This window comes from Homo sapiens, chromosome 6 (assembly GCF_000001405.40).
Source record: "Homo sapiens chromosome 6, GRCh38.p14 Primary Assembly".
Classification (NCBI taxonomy): domain Eukaryota; kingdom Metazoa; phylum Chordata; class Mammalia; order Primates; family Hominidae; genus Homo; species Homo sapiens.
The window spans coordinates 158,787,100-158,806,419 of record NC_000006.12 but is presented as its reverse complement, the minus strand read 5'-3'; the positions used below and the strand labels follow the sequence as shown (position 1 = coordinate 158,806,419).

At 43.0% G+C, this 19,320-nt stretch overlaps 1 protein-coding gene across 3 annotated transcripts in view, besides 2 other annotated features; it reads left to right on the top strand.

Annotated features, from left to right (window-relative positions):
• Positions 1-19,320, top strand: part of EZR (ezrin) — a 53,621-nt gene that overhangs the window by 12,949 nt on the left and 21,352 nt on the right. For 2 of the 3 annotated variants that reach the window (NM_001111077.2, NM_003379.5), the window contains 2 exons: positions 17,049-17,132; positions 19,217-19,312. In NM_001111077.2, the coding sequence (NP_001104547.1) occupies positions 17,049-17,132; positions 19,217-19,312 (180 nt within the window). Of the gene's footprint in view, positions 1-17,048; positions 17,133-19,216; positions 19,313-19,320 lie in introns of those variants that run through there. The other variant, XM_011536110.2, reaches the window with a different exon arrangement.
• Positions 2,513-2,622: an enhancer, noted in NCBI's record as "active region_25364". NCBI's record gives its function as "activates an Ori minimal core promoter by ATAC-STARR-seq in GM12878 lymphoblastoid cells {active_cell/tissue: GM12878}" and the evidence as "EXISTENCE:reporter gene assay evidence [ECO:0000049][PMID:35858748]".
• Positions 7,508-7,707: an enhancer, noted in NCBI's record as "active region_25363". NCBI's record gives its function as "activates an Ori minimal core promoter by ATAC-STARR-seq in GM12878 lymphoblastoid cells {active_cell/tissue: GM12878}" and the evidence as "EXISTENCE:reporter gene assay evidence [ECO:0000049][PMID:35858748]".

The window sequence follows — 19,320 nt, the reverse complement described above, 5'->3', positions numbered from 1 at the left end:
ATGGTACTACTTATTCTCTCTACTTTTATGAATGTTTTCAACTTTCCATAATAGAATATTTGCTTTTAAAAAGCATGTTATAGGGTAGAAAGGGAGAGATGCTTTACTTTTGCTCGTCATGAAGTGCCTGAGTGTTGAGGTGGGAGGATCTCAGGGCGAGGGCAGGTCCCCCATTCCCTGCTGCTGGGGCAACCTTTGTGCTCTGGATCAAATGAGTAACTGATTTGATCTCATCAAATGGCCCCACCCGGGCCATCTCACCCTCCATGCACATGTTTTAAAAGGAGGTCACTACTCAAAATTGCAGCTGACTTGGAAACACATAGAACGATTTGTTCCCAGTTTTTTCCACTATTACTTTGTATTCCCAATGTTTTGGGGGGCCCATAGGAATGGGGCACAGTGCTGTGACCCAACTGGGAACAGGTCATTGTCTTAATAGCGATTTTCTCAGACTTGAAAATTGAAATGAACAAAATAAGGGGCATCTACTGGGTAGGGCTTTAGCCATTTTAAGAGATCAATCTACATACTGGGGCTGTGGGCAGGGATGGGGGAAGGAAATACAGCAAACCATGGGTTGGGGTTGGGGTGAGTGATAGGGTTGTAAAATGTACACCATGTCTTTTCCAGTCAAGTAATGATGTACAAATTATAATGCCATTTCAGATGTAACATACTTGATACTGACAGTATAAATTGAAGAGTTTTTTTAATTTTAATTTAGTATAATTTCAGAAATGGTGATTTTAAAAGTTTTGGCAGGGTTTGCTTATTTAAGCAAATTTTGTAAGATTACTGATTTAGTTTGGATTTTTTAAAAGAAGCTACTTTGGTCTTGCTAATTTTTGACACATGGCAAAAGTAAAGACTGGGGTGAGTTCAAATCTTGTCTAATCGAAGTTTCTTACAGGAGAAATGTTCTTTAACATTGTATAATATTGCTCATGTGATCTTAACTAGGGGCAAAAATTTATCTCAGCAATGGCACAAGACTTAAGTATGGTTTATGTCTTATGTCCTCTAAAAAACAGGTTAGCAAAGAAATTTTTCGACCTTTTTTTTTTTTTTTTTTTTTTTTTCCTGAGATGGAGTCTCTGTCACCAGGCTGGGAGTGCAGTGGCGCCATGTAGGCTCACTGCAGCCTCCGACTCCCTGGTTCAAGCGATTCTCCTGCCTCAGCCCCACGAGTAGCTGGGATTGCAGGCACACGCCACCATGCCCGGCTAATTTTTGTATTTTTAGTAGAGATGGTTTCACCATGTTGGCCAGGATGGTCTTGGTCGCCTGACCTCGTGATCCACCCACCTCAGCCTCATTGTTTCCTAGACTCACCTTCTCACTCCCAAGATCAGAAATTGGAAATCATCATTCTCAGTAAACTATCGCAAGAACAAAAAACCAAACACCGCATATTCTCACTCATAGGTGGGAATTGAACAATGAGATCACATGGACACAGGAAGGGGAATATCACACTCTGGGGACTGTTGTGGGGTGGGGGGAGGGGGGAGGGATAGCATCGGGAGATATACCTAATGCTAGATGACGAGTTAGTGGGTGCAGCGCACCAGCATGGCACATGTATACATATGTAACTAACCTGCACAATGTGCACATGTACCCTAAAACTTAAAGTATAATAAAAAAAAATAAGAAAAAAAGAAAGGAAAAACTCTTCACAGGCTTCTAAATTTGCAGAGACAACCATGCATTCCAGGTGAATAGTGATGTTTAATCTATAGGCCTTTAGTTCCCTATCTTTTCTGAGCCTACAATTAAAACCGACTCTAGCATATAATAAGCCATCTTGGCCTTGTCCCTTACTTTTGTTTATGTGTGTAGTTACTAAGTTTACTAAGTAGTTACTAAACTTAAGTTTCTGTGTATAATTACCTGCACATTTCAGTGAAGCATGTTGGTGATGAAGTATTTATGATATACCTAGTGAAACTGAAATCACATGGTATACAATCAAGACTTAGACTTCAGGAGTTTATTAGATAAATTCTTGTTCAAGGTCCCTTTCTCTTTATTTTGCCTGCCCTGAGGTAAGGAGATGAGAAGGATGTAGATTGTGTTTCTAGAAAGAATAGTTTCTTTTGCTGAATGTAACATCCTTTGATTATTTCTTTTCCCTTTCTTAGGGGAAAGTGGTGTCTAAGAATTCCAGTTTACTTCCCTGTTAGATAACACACAATGTATGTTATTTCCAGTGTAGAAGAAGTTGGTTCTTAATTAGAGACACTCACCAAAAAGGGCCTTAAAAACTAGCAGCTAATAGGTATCAGGAGCATTATTTTCATACGCCATCAGCAGGTCGGAAATGGCCATCAGTGTTACTCGGCAGTGCAGGCTTGGAACTCGGGCATGACTAGCAGTCATTTCATTGTCAGACCTATGGAAAGCAGCTCCTTTCTGCCTCCCAGATGCAGTGGACAGTAGGGAGGGCTTAGCACAGAACTCTTCCCAACCTGGTTTTAAAATGACCCTCTTTTGAATGTGAATGCCCAGAAAGTTCCCTTCTAGTTCTAAGGTCATGATTTTCTTGCTGATAATAATGAGCACAGATGGGACTGGTTTGTCCGCTTTTTGTGTTTGTTAAGCAGCCTTGGTCTGACAGGATGTGGGTCTAGGGGCAGGAAGTGGCTTACTCTCAGAGGAAAAAGGAGAGCTATTTAGGATTTGAGATTTCATTACATGTTCTTGAAATTATGGGGTGGCTATTATTCTGGACTCTCTCTGTATATTTTATATATATATATGTATATATATATATATATGTATGTATATGTATATATATATATATATATGTATATATATATATATATATATATGTATATATATATATATATATATATATATATATATATACATATATATATATATATAATGTTACATAATATTTACCCTGGAGTTGGTAAATACAAACTTTTCAAAAGCATAAAACCATTGGCATCTATTTAAAGATACTATTTTAGGAGTAATGTTAAAGAGCCAGAGCTACACAGATATTTTGGTAGCTGATTACCAGAAGTTGAGGGTCTCAGTTTTTGTAACCATTAAAAAAAGGTCATCAGACGAGGATAACCGTATACCTCGTATCGAGTACTCATTTGGAGTCACTCTACCAGTTATACTTCATCACTATTCTGATTGGCTACTTAAAACATACGTTTATATAACATAAAAATGTAACATCATGTAGATACGTGAAAAGTCAGTTACTAGGAAATTCCCAGCCCCCACTTCTGTGTCAATACTCTGCCCTGTTAACGTCTGCTGCACATTAAGAATTTAGCCTTGACATTTTAAGTTTAGCCTAATGGTGGTGCTGGAGGAAGTAGTAAGGAGAACAGTTTAGAAAAGGAGGTGTGAGTGGCATGTAGTGTTACTTTTCATCATTTAAATTACTCAAAAAGTTCCTTAAAGTGCTTCTGGCTTCTCTGGGAAATGAGTTCCTGCTTCCCTGTGGTGTCAGGAGAATCGCAGGGTAGGAGACACGGCCCCTAGGATACTGGACATGGGCTGGATGCTGTATTCGAGGGATAAACCATGTATGGTTCTTGTGCTTAAATAAGCAAAAACCTGGCCGGGCGCGGTGGCTCACACCTGTAATCCCAGCACTTTGGGAGGCCAAGGCGGGTGGATTACGAGGTCAGGAGATCGAGACCATCTAACTTAACATGGTGAAACCCCGTTTCTACTAAAAATACAAAAATTAGCTGGGCGTGGTGGCACATGCCTATAATCCCGGCTACTCGGGAGGCTGAGGCAGGAGAATCGCTTGAACCCGGGAGGTGGAGGTTGCAGTGAGCCGAGATTGCGCCACTGCACTCCAGCCTGGGCAACAAGAGTGAAACTCCGCCTCAAAAAACAAACAAAACACTACCACCAAAAACCTAACTAGCCATAGTCAAGTAGAAGTATACAAATATTCCAGAAGAACTAAACTATAAGGTGTTTGTAAATATTTAGATGTGAATGAGTATAAACAACGCATCAAAAAATCATAAAAATTGATATTTGGTAAATTTTCCTTTCTGCCAGACTTGCTGGCAGTTAAAATTTGAAACAGTGACTGTACCGAAAGCCTTTTTATTCAGGTTAAAAGTTGTACTCCCATTTCCTAAAATAAGGACTGAACTGAGAAACTCTAGCTACAGCTACTTGGTTTTCCATAGAGTTAAGTTGGCTCCTTAGATGCTGAAGTCTGTAGTTATGACCTTGCTTTCATTAGTAATTAGCACCTGGGCAGGTACTAACCAATGAATGCCCTTTACACCTGGCAAGAAGGAATGGGTGGGGAGGCCAGATTGTTTCAATCTAAAGGGCACTACGTTGTGGTGGGTTACGTTTTTTGGTAGACAGACACTGCCTACAGGCAACTAAGTCATTCCATTAACTGTCATTATCAATCCATGTGTGGCCAAGCTTGAATTGTCCTGCTGGTTTAGCTTCCTGATGGGGAACAACAGCTGTCGCAACGCACAGTGTCTGCAGCTCCATCATGGGCCCCAGGACGTCCCACAGCAGCTAACACTGGTCTGTACTCGGAACTCTGCCACCTGGCCAGTGACTTTTGTGCGTCATGTTCCTGGGAATAGTATGACTGTCCATGATTCCTAGGAAAGCTAGAGGAATAACTGAGGATGAGGAGCTAGCACTTTGACCCCTGTGGGGAGTGCTGGTTATAGTGGTTATCAGGGTTGTGACAAGTGGACTCTTGTGAGTTCCAACACTGGATGATTTTATTATTCCTATTACTCAGGCAGTAAAAGACTAGTACATATCCTGGTGTTATATAATTATATGAAAACTTATCAGAATGAGTTTTATAACTAGCGTACCCATGTTTTTGTTATTGTGCTGCAGATAAAATGGCGCACTGAAATGTTACTGAATTATGTGACAATTTTTGTTACAATTCTGTGCACTTTTTACAAGATTTGTGGAGCTTAGATAGATGGCTGGCCTTTGGCATCTGAACATTTTCCTGAGCCCGATAGACAAGCAGATTTTTTTTGTTTGTTTTTGGAGACAGGGTTCTCATGCCTGTAATCCCAGCACCCTGCCTAGTTCAAGACCAGCCTGGCTGGCAACATGGTGAAACCCCGTCTCTACCAAAAATACAAAAGTTAGCTGGGCATGGTGATGCACGCCTGTAATCCCAGATACTCTGGAGACTGAGGCAGGAGAATCGCTTGAACCCGGGAGGTGGAGGCTACAGTGAGCCGAGATTGTGCCACTGCACTCCAGCCTTGACAGAGCGAGACCCTGTCTCAAAAAAAATTAAAAAGACAGGGTTCTGTTACCCAGTGTGGTGGCGCAAGCATGGCTCACTGCAGGCTCGACCTCCTAGGCCCAAGTGATCTTCCCACATTGGCCTTCCAAAGTGCTAGGGTTACAGGAGTGAGCCACTGTGCCTGGCCAAGATTTCTTTGCCTTTGCGCTCATGTTCTTCTTTAACCTTAAAAGAAGAGGTCATATAAAATAATCAGGTATAATTTAAGATACAGAAAGCTTGATAGAAAGGAGTAGCCGTGTTCTACATCTTCATCCATTGCATTTGCAGATATGCCTCAGGATTATTTTATTAGTACAATTTTTTTTTCTTTTTGAGACAGTCTCACTCTGTCACCCAGGCTGGAGTGCAGTGGTGCAATCTCGGCACACTGCAGCCTCCACCTCCCAGGTTCAAGCGATTGTCCTGCCTTATTCCCTGGTGTATCTGGGATTACCAATGTGCACCACCACACCCGGCTAATATTTTGTATTTTTAGTGGAGATGGGGTTTCGCCATGTTGGCCAGGCTGGTCTCGAACTGCTGGTCTCAAGTGATCCACCTGCCTCAGCCTCCCAAAGTGGTAGGATTATAGGCATGAGCCACCGTGCCCAGCCTAGCGTCATGTATTTATACTGTTATTTCCACCTCCTAAAAGTCAACAAGGACACTTAGCTCAAGAAGGCTGATGTTGAGAGAGAACGCTTATCAGAACAGGGATCTCTGAGGAAAAAGGGAGCTTAAATGTGTGTCCCTGGAATTTCTTCTAGCCCTTCCTTTCCTTGGTGACATGGCCACTGCTATGGGCGGGAATTAGAGAAGAGCCCTGACCAGTGGTGTTGATGTCTTTGCCAAGTATACTGTCAGGTCAGTGTCATAAATTGATGATATATATAGAGAGACTTCATTTAATAGAAAATAATATTTTAAGGACCACCTTGCTATTTTACTTCTCTAATAATGTTTTGAATATTTTGATAAATACCTTTAGCAACATAGTGGTTCTCATCTCAGCCCTCTCTGTCCTTGAAAGAATGTTATTTATAACAGGGTGGTTTCTGGACTGCCCTTCTGGAGTAAAACTTGGGCATTCTAACCATATGCTTGCTGGAAACCATAATAATGTAAAAAGTCGTCATTGGGTTTTCAATTGCAATTACATTGATATAATTTTGTATATAAAACAGTCTGTTACTGGGAGCAGCATTGTTCATGTAAGAAAGATGTTCGCTTCATATAATACATGGAAACAAAGTTATATTTTCAATGTTAGCCATTACTGTGACACTCCAAAAAAGGCTGGTGATGGGGAGAAAGAAGAGCTTTAAAAAAACCTACAGACAATTCACTTGCCTCTCGGGCTTTTCTGCTTTGCCTGCCTTGACCGAATTAGAGTATCTGCATTTCTGCACTAAGCTGGTTGAGGTTTGCTAAGTCAATGGTAATGTTTTACAGAGCTTGGCTGTTAGCCAGCATTTGTGGAAAACGACCAATGTCTGTCATAGCTAGTGCTATAATTTATTCAGTTGGCATATTGTTTATGGAGACAGTGAGATAAGGGGATTAGGATCCAGAGAGACTATTAAAATATGTGAGTCCATCTGTTGTGATCTGAGGTTTCATTAGAGAAAACCTGTCTGCTAGTACAACAAATGGAGACTTAGTAAGGATGTTTTTATATAAAGGATTATAAATCAGCAGAGGTAAATACATTAATCTTGGCCAAACAGGTCATGTCCTTTTGCGTTTTCCTGATGGCAGGTTCTGCCCCCTGCCGCCCGGGCACTGTTGGTCATAGCGTGACCTTGGCATCAGCTGTGAGCCGGTAAACATGGAAATGTAGGCCCCTCCCAACCTGAGTCAGACCCTTAGCCTGGGGTCCAGGAAACTGTTTTAACAAGCCCCTGGGTGATTTTTTTTCACATGTTCAAGTTTGAGCGCCTCGAGGGCCTGTGAATGGCTGCATATAAGGTACAGCTGGCCATATGTCTTAAATGACTTCAAAGGGGTGTGAGCCAGGCCTCTTCCCACACCAGACTTCATGAACCATGCCTGGTATTGTCATGTTTTTGTGAGCAGCCGTGAATAGGGCTGGGGGAGAGAGATGTTCAGCCAAGAAAGTCTAAAATAGAAAGGGAATGTTCAGTTATAACAAAACAAATTTTTGTAATTAGAGTGCTGGGTTGTGCTCAGCATCATTGGAGTTAAATGTGGAGCAGTGGCTTACACTTGTAATCCCAGCACTTTGAGAAACTGAGGTGGGCGGATCCCTTGAGGTCAGGAGTTCGAGGCCACCCTGGGCAACATGGTGAAACTCCATCTCTACAAAAAATAGAAAAATTAGCCGGCTGTGGTGGCAGGTGCCTGTGGTCCCAGCTAAGGAGGCTAAGGTGGGAGAATCTCTTGAACCCTGGAGGCAGAGGTTGCAGTGAGCTGAGATCACGCCACTGCACTCCAGCCTGGGCAACAGAGCGAGAGACCCTTTCTCAAAAAAAAAAAAAAAAAAAAAAAAAGCGGAGCAGCAAACTAAGTCCCTTTTCCATCGAGGGAGGTCTCTGAAGCAGAGCTGAGCCAGCCTCTCAGCTCTGCCCTGGTGGGGCACCCCATAGCGCCCAGAAGCAGTGAGGGCTAAGGCGGCAGAGTGCAGCATGGCCATGCATGATTGGAGCGCCGCTACTGTGTTGGTGTCAGTTTGGCAGCCAGCAACTTCTAAGAACATAGAATATTTTCATTTAGAACTTAAAAACAGTAAACCCAAAAAGTTTAGTTTTTAAAAATTCATTTTGTTTCTCCCTAAAGATTTTTATTCTTTTGAAAATGACCACAGTCTAGTTTGAATGCCATTGTTTTTCAGCTGTTTCTTATTTGCAATTGCTAAAAGCAACAAGGAGCAAGTTAAATGTCCATCACCTGAATGGGTAGACAGAAGTGACAGCCACACAATGGAATATTCCTGGGCAGTAAAAAAAGAATGAAGTGCTGGTACATGCTACAACATGAATAACCCTTTTAAACATTATGCTAAGTCATGGGATTCAGTCATGAAAGACTGCATATTACAAAATTCTGTCTCTCTGAAATGTCCAGAATAGGCCATTCCTTAGAGACAGAAAGTAGATTGGTGGTTTCCAGGGGCTGAGGGATCAGGAGGAATGCAGAGTGACTGCCAGTGGCCATGGAGTTTCTTTTTGGGCTGACAAACTATTCCAAAACTAGATAGCAGTGTCAGTTGCATAACTCTGAATATACTAAAAACCACTGAATTATACATTTTCCATGGGTAAATTTTATGGTAAGTTACATTTCAATAGCTGCTATTTAAAGTACATAGTGACTCAACATGAAAGGAAAAATATACAGTTTTGTCTCTATAATTACCCAATTAAGTGAACCAAAATAGCTGCAAAGTTTTTAATTCATTTATCATTGGTTGTAAGAATTTTCCCTATCATACTCCCATTTGTGGGAGAAAATTTACTGTATCTACTTTCTATCAGAGCATTTCTAAGTATTTGAAAGGTCTTATCCAAATATTTGAAAGCTGTTAAAAGTTGCTGAAGTGGCACCTTCGGAAGAAGGCTGGAATGTTGGAAAACAGCGTTGACATTTTAAATGATATGGAAGGTCAAGCTCGCAATGTAATCTTGGTGGTGGCTGGATGGCTCTACTCAGACTGGTTTTTGAGTAAATGGCAGGTGTGATAATATAGGGATTAATCTGTTAACCACTGAATCCACTGCCTGAAATTCAGACATTCAAATGCTCCCATTTGAATTTCCCTTTCTTATTTTACATGGTTTTCCTGATTTTTGAGTACATAAAAAAATTATTGCAAACTTTTTTCCTGCAGTGTTCTGGCCACTGAAATTAAATCTGGTTCTTTTGTCTAAGACTCAAGGGTTGCTCTCCTGTAATGTTTGTGGAGGAACTGATCTTGGACTTTTCCCTCCTGTCTTGGGCTTTTATTACAGTTTGAATTTATGCTGTAAAAAGTGTGATTGTAGAGGTAACCTATAAGTTTAAAATATTCAGAGGAAATGGATGCTTCCCAAAGGAAAAATTGCATACCTATATTTATTTACCAAAATGAGGAAAATACCTGGGAAATAATTTGGCCAAATATTCAGCAATTATATTCATAGATTAGAAGCAAAATACAAAATTTGATTGTCAACTTGGTACCTTTTTCATTCCTTACACTCTTAGAAGGCATTTTAAGATGCCATTTTGATAAAATTAAACTGGGAAGACTCAGAAATCATGTTTTCCCAACTATATTCTGAAAAATCCTAGTTCCCTGGGATGCTCCGTGGAAATAACCTGTGGGCAGAACAATCTGTGAAGTGGAGACTGTGGCCCCGTCTTGGACTGCCACTGTTGGCATCAACATGGCAGACAGGCAACAGCCTTTCAGCTAAAGAAGGAAGAAACAGAAAACCCCACCTTAACCACTGCAGAGTTACGTGACCTCCAAACACTGCCCCCACAGCATATCCCCATTTTTGTCCCTTTCCCTTTCAAAGCCAAATAATTTCAAAGAGGACTACATAGCTGCTGGCTTGGGATGGTGTCAAAAGCCAGGCAAGATGATTTTAAGTCATAGAATGATCGAGCTGGAAGATGCTCACAGATTAAATGGTCTCCAGCCACTCAATATCAGCAGCAAGGGAGAGGAACAGGGTTGGCCTGAGTGAGGCTGGGGCCACCCCTGCCGCCAGGCCTGTGTGCCAGGCTCAGGTGCTCCAGGGAATGAGCAAAGAGGATGTTGGGTTTATTTTGTTTTAATAAGGCGAATTGTTACTGAGTTTATTTAAAAATAAAGCAGCTTGGGGTTTAACACCTTGCATGTCGGTTGCATTGGAGTGGTAACACCTGTGCTGTCGTGTGTCTGCCTGGAGGGGTACTTTCCTTCTTGGGAAAGTGAACACAGGTGTGTTGTCCCTTCTCCGTGAAAACACTCTACTTGCTGGCCTTGAATAGCATTCTAGTGGGTTACTTTTCTCCTAGTGGTCAGAGAGTATTTATTGGACCTCTGGTTCCATTGGCATGTGTCCCCTAAGGAGGGAGACCCTTCAGGGGGTACTTACACCTCTACTGTCCGATGGCACTGGCTGTGTCACACCTGGCCTGTGGGCTTTGAACCTAGCATTTCAGAGTGGGAAAAGGCCTCAAGCCATCTAGTCCAAACTCTACCTGCAGATCAGGTAGAGGCCCAGTGGCAGGAAGTCATCAGCTAGGGGTCCTCAGATTACAGAGCTAGCTCTCAAACCCAGGCCCTCTGTCTCCCGTCTCTTGCCTTCCAGTGATTCCCAAATTTGGCCTCCTCAAAATCACTTGTGGAAGTGACAGCTTCCTGGGCTGCGGGTGTTTGAAAAGCTTCTGTGGGGATTCTGATGGTGAGGCTGATGTGGGAAGCACTGTGGTGTGTGATCACTGAGGCACACCCATCTTCATTAATGTGTAAGCCACTCGGGGATAGGAAGGGCTAATGCCTCTCTGTACTCACAGTGCCCATCGAGGTGCCTGGCACACCTTGCAGTAGTTAATTGGTATTTGTGGATCGAATGAACATGTTAGGTGCCCACTAGCAGGGGTTGGTCCTGTAGTCTGTGGCCATGGAACATTAGAAGAATAAAGCTATTGTGGTTCATCCTGTAGTATAGTAAGTTCGAGCTGAGCTAACCTGTAATAACACAAATACAATTTTTTTTTTTACGTTTTTAAAAGTTAGAGATGGGTTCTTGCTATGTTGCCCAGGGTAGTCTCAAACTCCTCGCCTTGAGATCCTCCTGCCTTGGCTCCCCAAAGTCCTGCGATTACAGGCCTGAGCCATTATATTTGGCCAACAAATAGAATTATTTATTTATTTATTTATTTATTTTTTGCGATGGAGTCTCACCCTGTCACCTAGGCTGGAGTGCAGTGGCGTGATCTTGGCTCATTGCAACCTCCGCCTCCCAGGTTCAAGCGATTCTCTCTCCTCAGCCTCCTGAGTAGCTGGGATTACAGGTGTGTGCCACCACATTTGGCTAATTTTTATATTTTTAGTAGAGATGGGGTTTTACCATGTTGGCCAGCGCTGGTCTTGAACTCCTGACATCAAGTGATCTGCCTGCCTTGGCCCCCCAGAGTGCTGTGATTACAGGTGTGAGCCACTGCGCCTGGCCTAGACTTTTTTAAAGAGTAGATTATTAAGCAAAGGGAGAGTATAAACAGTATTGGTTTTTCATTAGCTTCATCTGTACCGTCAACCACATGGTTCTTTTTGTCTTGGTAGTGGTACAGGAGTAAAGTTAAACTTAAATCACCACCAACACCCCCAAGCTAAGCATAACTTTTAAAAGTTTTTAATATTTTGGCAAGCCTGGGAGAAATATTGCCCTTTTTTGGGTAGATCTTGGATGACTAACTGCTTACTATACACACACCTGTACTACACGTGATTGCGTTGCCTTCACTGAACACCGTTTTTGATAACTGTGTAATCTGAGGGGAATTACTAAGACAATAAAAACTGCAGACCACGCGCTCTTTTTCTCCAGTCTGCACATAGTTTGGATATGTGTGGTGGTGTGTTTAAGCCCATGGACTTGAGTTTTTTATGGGACAATCCTTGTGTGTATCAGAATCATACAGTCCCAGTACCATCTTATTCCTCTGGCATTATTGAAGATACAAGAACCAGTTGGCATTCAAATATGTTGAGTTCACTAAAAACAGTTGCTGATGAGGGAAACCTAACACCCTGATAATAAAATGGAAAGTTGGGATTTAGATGTGTTTTCTCAATTGCCAAAGCCTGGTGGTGGTGGTGCTGGTGCTGGTGCTGGTGGTAGTGCTGGTGGTGGTTGTGGTGGTTTTGAGTCTTCGCTGTATCACCCAGGCTGGAGTGCAGTGGCGCGATCTTGCTCACTGCAAGCTCCGCCTCCCAGGTTCAAGCAATTCTCCTGCCTCAGCCTCCCAAGAAGCTGGGACTATGTATGGGCACGTGGTACCACGCCCGGCTAATTTTTGTATTTTTAGTAGAGACGGGGCTTCACTGTGTTGGCCAGGCCGGTCTCGAACGCCTGACCTCTAGTGAGCCACCCACCTTGGCCTCCCAAAGTGCTGGGATTACAGGCGTGAACCACTGCATGTGGCCCCAAAGTCTGTTTTTTTTCCCCAAGCCCTTGGATAAGTAGACAAAGTATGTATGTAAATGGTCCTGTCATCTCAGTGAATGTCTCATTTTAAATTTTGGTGAAAGCTTATGCTGTATTGTAGCACATTATTTTATCTATAACATTGAAAATAATTGGCCTTTCTAAACATGGAACTGTTTATCATGCAGTAGGGTAAGGCAGTGCCATGCTGTGGTACTTAATCTGGGGAGGATCTCCTCCCTTTTCCCCATAGAGCATTTGGAAATGTGTGTGTGGATGGGGTTGCTTTTAGATGTTCCAGTGACTGGGGACACTCAGTCATTGGATGGCTTAAGGATGCTAAACGTTCCTGAGTGCTTGGGATAGTCTTGCAGAATGAATACTTGTGCTGTCCAGAATGACAAGAGCACCCCCAGTGGGAAACACTAGTAGGGTAATGACTAATCAAGTAACAGACATGCCCTTTAACTTAAAGCAGCTCATTAACATAGTATTCATTTACCTGTTTAGATTTTGAGTATCTTCTCTTCAATCTCTATGTAAAGATACAGATTGTAGAGCCTGCCCTATGTATGAATATATATATATATTAAAACTGTGATTCTAAGAAGGGGTTCTTAAGGTTCTGGTGTGTCCCCAAATCAGAACTGGAAATTATTCCTTTTAACAGGGCCAATGGATTCCTATTGCTGGTCCTAGTTTTATTACTGCAGTGCCAGAACAACTCCCTGATCATCATTTTTATTTTTTTAAAAGAGGATCTCACTCTTTCATTCAGGCTGGAGTGCAGTGGCTCGATCATAGCTCACTGCACTCCAGCCTGAATGATTTTTTGTAGAGAGATGGGGTCTTGACTTGTTGCCCAGGCTGGTCTCAAATTCCTGGACTCAAGTGATCTGCCTGCCTTGGTTTCCCACAGTGCTGGGATTACAGGCATGAGCCAATGGGCCTGGCCTCCCTGATCTTTAGACTTGCAATAATTGTTTGAGGTTGCGTACCATAGGGAATGATTGCCCATGGGTGTTGGAGCATAGGTAAAAAATTTTGTGGAATGATCGGACCAGCTAAGAGTTGGCATTGTGTTGGAGCTGCTGGTGCTCAGATGAAGTCCTTTTGTTAGGAGGTGTAGATTTGTTGACTCATGCAGAACTTCTCAGTAGCTTACTTTTTTTTTTTTTTGAGATGGAGTCTTGCCCTGTTGCCCAGGCTGGAGTGCAGTGGCCCGATCTTGGCTCACTGCAAGCTCCACCTCCCGGGTTGATGCCATTCTCCTGCCTCAGCCTCCCGAGTAGCTGTGACTACAGGCGCCCGCACACCTGGATAATCTTTTCTATTTTTAGTAGAGATGGGGTTTCATCGTGTTAGCCAGGATGATCTCCATCTCCTGACCTCGTGATCTGCCCTCCTCGGCCTCCCAAAGTGCTGGGATTACGTGAGCCACTGTGCCCAGCCAATTTTTAAGTTCACTTTCTACACGCTACTGGGTTGTTAAAACCAACCTCAGTAAAAGTATCCGTTTTACAAGTTACTTGCTTTTTCAGGCCAGGCACAGTCAGGAGTTTGAGACCAGCCTGGCCAACATGGTGAAACCCTGTCTCTACTAAAATTACAAAATTTAGCTGGGTGTAGTGGCTGGCATCTGTAATCCCAGCTGCTTGGGAGGCCGAGGCAGGAGAATCGTTTGAACCCAGGAGGCAGAGGTTGCAGTGCTGAGATGATGCCACTGCACTCCAACCTGGGCGACAGAGGAGACTCCATCTCAAAAAAAGAAAACAAGTTAATTGCTTTTTAAAAGGGTTGTGTGAACTTTCAGTCAGATATGAAACTGTTTCAGAACCAAAAATAAGTTATTCTAAATTCCTGCTAGTCAGTTTGCAAAATGCTTAATATCTTTTTAATGTTAATTATTAGCTTTGGTTTCAGGAGATGTCATTTTCACACTGTCTTCAAACTTAGAAGAGACTCAGGTTTAGAATTTGGAGTCTGGGCCGGGCGCGGTGGCTCACGCCTGTAATCCCAGCACTTTGGGAGGCCGAGGCAGGCAGATGACAAGATCAGGAGATTGAGACCATCCTGGCTAACACGGTGAAACCCTGTCTCTACTAAAAATACAAAAAATTAGCTGGGTGTTGTGGCGGGCACCTGTAGTCCCAGCTACTCGGGAGGCTAAGGCAGGAGAATGGCAGGAACCTGGGAGGCGGAGCTTGCAGTGAGCCAAGATCACACCACTGCACTCCAGCCTGGGCGACAGAGAAAGACTCTGTCTCAAAAAAAAAAAAAAAAAAAATGGAGTCTGAAATCTCGTGTGCATGGACTCTGGTCATTTGTCTTTGTCCTAACCAGACAGTGGCCTTCAGTTCTAATTGTACTTGGGGTTCCCACTTCTGAACCAGTAGATAGCAGAGAAAGAAAGGTGGCATATCCAGGGTTCTGCATTTGTGAGCAAACGCCCCTCCACTTTAGTTTTAGTGTGTTATGTCATTGTTGGCTTCTGTGTATGTAGCTGGAGCTGCATTTGTTATTGAGATATTTGACTTGGGGCTGGTTTTCCCATCTCTAATACATGCCCTTGGAACCATAATTGAGAGAAATGCGTGCTTTTATTTTATGCTTCATAACAGCCATTTTGTGATTTTAAAAAAATTACCAGCAGGAAATGAAAGAAAAGTAGGTTTTTATATTTTAGTATGATTAAAGACTTTAAAACATGTCTCGTTGCCTCCTAGTAAACTTGAGTTCTTTAACTTCTGGACTTGGGGATTGTGGAGAAAACTTTTGAAACAAGATCTGGAAAACGATACTTCTGTACTTGTTGTACCAGTCGGGGAGCCTTTAAGGGCATATTGGATGCATGTTAGAGGATCTCTCAGTCATAGTCTTAAATGTTATTGGGACGGGGTGGGAGCGGCTGGGGAGACTAATTATGTTCCTGAAGTAGGAAGTGACATTTGGTGAGTGCTTAATATTTCTGGTTCCCTGGCTGGATAACGAAACCTCTGTCGCCATATACTGGCACAGGTAATACGTCCTTATTACATTTACACCTGTGTTAGGAAGAATCCGGGATAGGTATCTCTCCAGCTTCTGTATATTTCACTTGAAAAATGGTGAGAAGCAAGCATTTCTTAATATTAAGCATTATAGTTGCTATGTGGCTCTGCTGTTTTCTTTGGGACAGTGACATAAAGTAGCCAGATTTGAGTGTTTTTCATACACTTTAGTAAATCTGGGTTTTCTCAAGTGATAAATTTGAAAACTGCCTTGATGTAAGTGGGTTGTTTTGTTGTTGTGGTGGTGGGTTTTTTTTGTTTGTTTGTTTTGAGATGGAGTCTTGCTCCGGAGCCGAGGCTGGAATGCAGTGGCACAATCTTGGCTCACTGCAACCTCCGCCTCCTGGGTTCAAGCGATTCTCCTGCCTCAGCCTCCCAAGTAGCTGGGACTACAGGCGTGCGCCACTATGCCCAGCTAATTTTGTATTTTTAATAGAGATAGGGCTTCACCATGTTAGCCAGGCTGGTCTTGAACTCCTGACCTCAAGTGGTCCACCTGCCTCGGCCTCCCGAAGTGCTGGGATTACAGGTGTGTGAGCCAATGCGCCCGACAGTGTTTTGTTTTTTTAAAACAACTACATGGCAACATTAGAAATATTTTAAGGCCCTCCCATCTCCACCTCCTCAATTCTGTGTCTCACCATCCTCATACTATTTCCATTTTTACATTTTATTTTCATGTCTTGTCTAAACAGAGTTCACATTTGCATTGAGTGTTGCTTGTCGTATTTTTTATTTCAGAAGCAATTTGCCCAGTTTCTACTATTTTCGTAATTATAATTTAATATCACTACATAATCCATTTTTGATGTGTCTTTGGACATTTCACCATTTCTCTCTCACTATGGTTTCTAAGGTTGCTTCAAACCTTCTGATTCAAAGCTCTTTCTCTCTTCCCTTCTCTGACTTCCTTGGTGCCTTGGGAGCCCTCCTGCCTCCCTTGGCTGTCGTAAGGCTCATATGAGATGGTGCATGGAAAAATAGGTTAAAGTATTGTTTTAACAAAAAAGAAAAAAACTGCTTAGGTTGGGCAGGGTGGCCCATGCCTATAATCTCAGCACTATGGGAGGCTGAGATGGGAGGCTTGCTTGAGCCTAGGAGCTCAAGACCAGCCTAGGCAACATAGTGAGACCCCGTCTCTACAAAAAGTAAAAAACAAAACGAGCTAGGCATGGTGGCACCTATAGTGCCAGCTACTCAAGAGGCTGAGGTGGGAGGCGTTCGTGTGAGCCTGGGAGATCATGACTAGTGAGCTGTGATCGTGCCACTGCACTCCAGCTTGGGTGACAGAGCAAGAGCCTGTCTCAAAGAAAAGAGAAAAACTGCTTAGACCTAAGTGTCAGTGTGCTTTATTAAAGCAAAGAAGCTGCGTTTGGTTTGCACTGTGTGCCTCCTGAGACATCCCCAGCCATCTGCAGTCAGGAGTGGTGTGTGGCTTCCTGACTAGCACAGGAACTGATGTCAGGCATATGCCGTCGCCACACTGAGGAGCAGCTTATGTAGAAGGTGCAGGAGGTTATTAGAAGAAAAGAATACTCAGTTAAGCGTAATTTGTTTCATTCTGTTTTTCAGATCAATGTCCGAGTTACCACCATGGATGCAGAGCTGGAGTTTGCAATCCAGCCAAATACAACTGGAAAACAGCTTTTTGATCAGGTTGGTCTCTGAACTTGAGAGTTAACTCCACCTACAAAAAAAAACTGTTTTGCAACATTTCAGTTATTTTGTTTGCGAAGCATATTACCTTGTTTTACTCACTTGAGGTAATAGATGAGAAGGATCTTTTAAAAGGTGAAAGTATTTCATGATAGCATTATAAAATGCATTAACAGACAAGTATATCATGCCTAGGAAGTGAGGTGTATGAAAGCACACAGCTGTCTGTTGTATAAAGTCAGGCGGATTCAGTGTGTTACCAGGCATGGAAGCAAAGGACTGAAAAGAGAGTTATTGTGCTTGTCATTGTAAGGAGGTGCTGGCCTGTGTGTCTCTCACCCTGTATTAGAGACGCGGCTTCCTACCCGCAGCTGCCTCCACCTCCAGAGTAGAACCCCTCTCACTGCGTGGATGAGTGAGCCTTAGTTGTCTCAGTTGCTGCAGCTTCTCATTTCTAAGTGATCGTACCTGAACATCTATGAAAGGAAGAAATGAAGATTTAGAGAAATAATTCACTTTTTAAAATTGGAAGATTTTTTTAAATCAAGTATTTATTAGTGATATTACTACTTACTTATTAAATACTTTTTTCCCCAATAACAGCTGCTTCAAATACAGCGTTGTTTTTTTTTTTTTTCTTTGAGACTGAATCTCACTCTGTTGCCCCGGCTGGAGTGCAATGGTGCAATCTCAGCTCACTGCAACCTCTGTCTCACAGGTTCAAGCAATTCTCCTGCATCAGCTCCCCGAATAGTTGGGATTACAGGCACATGCTACCACGCCCTGCTAATTTTTGTATTTTTAATAGAGACAGGGTTTCGCCATGTTTGCCAGGCTAGTCTCGAACTCCTGAACTCAAGTGATCCACCCGTCTTGGCCTCCCAAAGTGCTGGGATTACAAGTGTGAGCCACCACGCTCAGCTTGCAGCCTTCCCCCATCCCTTTTGGGTGAGTGGGAAGAGGGGGAAGAACAGGTCAGTCCTGGGCATTTAATAAACAGACTTCTAGAGCTTTAGGGAGCCTCTGGCCTCCCTGCACCCTTCAGATGAAGAAACAGGCCCAGATCAGGAGTTAATTTGGAATTTTAGGATTTACTTTAAGCAAATGCTCTGTATACCTGAGTTGTCATTTCTAATGTATTCAACCCTCTTTGGCATTAAATATGATAGAAGCCATGTATTTGAAGGATGGTAGCATTTTTTAAAGTTTAACATTATATATCATGGGATTTTAAATTAGACATCTATGTATATGTAAATAGTCGAACTTGTCTGGGACTCGGTTTAGATGATGTTCAACAAATGTCCACAGCAAGTTCGACTATCACTGCTTTTCTGTTTACAAGACAGTCGTGAGACTAAGCAGCTCAGGACTCCTGTAATGCACAACAGAGGCTTGAAAATGTGAAATCTTTGCTGTGACCTAGGGTCGGGATTCTACCTTTGCTGTATCAGAATGTCCCATTTCTGGAGGTCTATAAGATGCAGGTTCCTCTGGGCACCCCTGTGCATTGACACCCTTCCGTCCCAGAAGTCTGCCTTGCCTGTTTTCCTGCCTTTCCTAGGATTTCTTTGTCCCTGTTCCTAGTAAGTCAGACCCCTGGGCCAGCTGGCTGAGAGGCAGAGGCAGGCAGCCAGAGGAGGCTCAGGTGTGGCACTGGATGCTTTAGTCTTCTGCATGAGCACACCTGACCGGCAGCGATGCACCCACCGCACTGTTCCCTGGGGGGCTGTGGGCTCCCATGGTTCTGTGTGTGCTGGCCATAACCCGCCCTGCTGAGTTTCATGCAGGAGAGCATCCTGGAGTACAAAGGAGTAGGAGTGAGATTTTCTAAGATTTGAAGGTAGAACCCTGAATCTGCTCAAATTTATATTAAAAATAAGTCGTTCATGGCTTTGAGATAATAGCCTCAGTTAGTAACAAGTTATTTGAGTGCAAAAAAAGATGTTGCCCAGTGGTTGGACTGAGCAGATGTCCTGGTTTCCTGGGGACTCTGCTAGACCATGTGATGAACGACAGCCAAAAGCTGTTGCCCTTTTGAGTGAGTTTCTCATGAGTGTTGAGCCTCTCTCTCTCTCACGCAGGTGGTAAAGACTATCGGCCTCCGGGAAGTGTGGTACTTTGGCCTCCACTATGTGGATAATAAAGGATTTCCTACCTGGCTGAAGCTGGATAAGAAGGCAAGTCA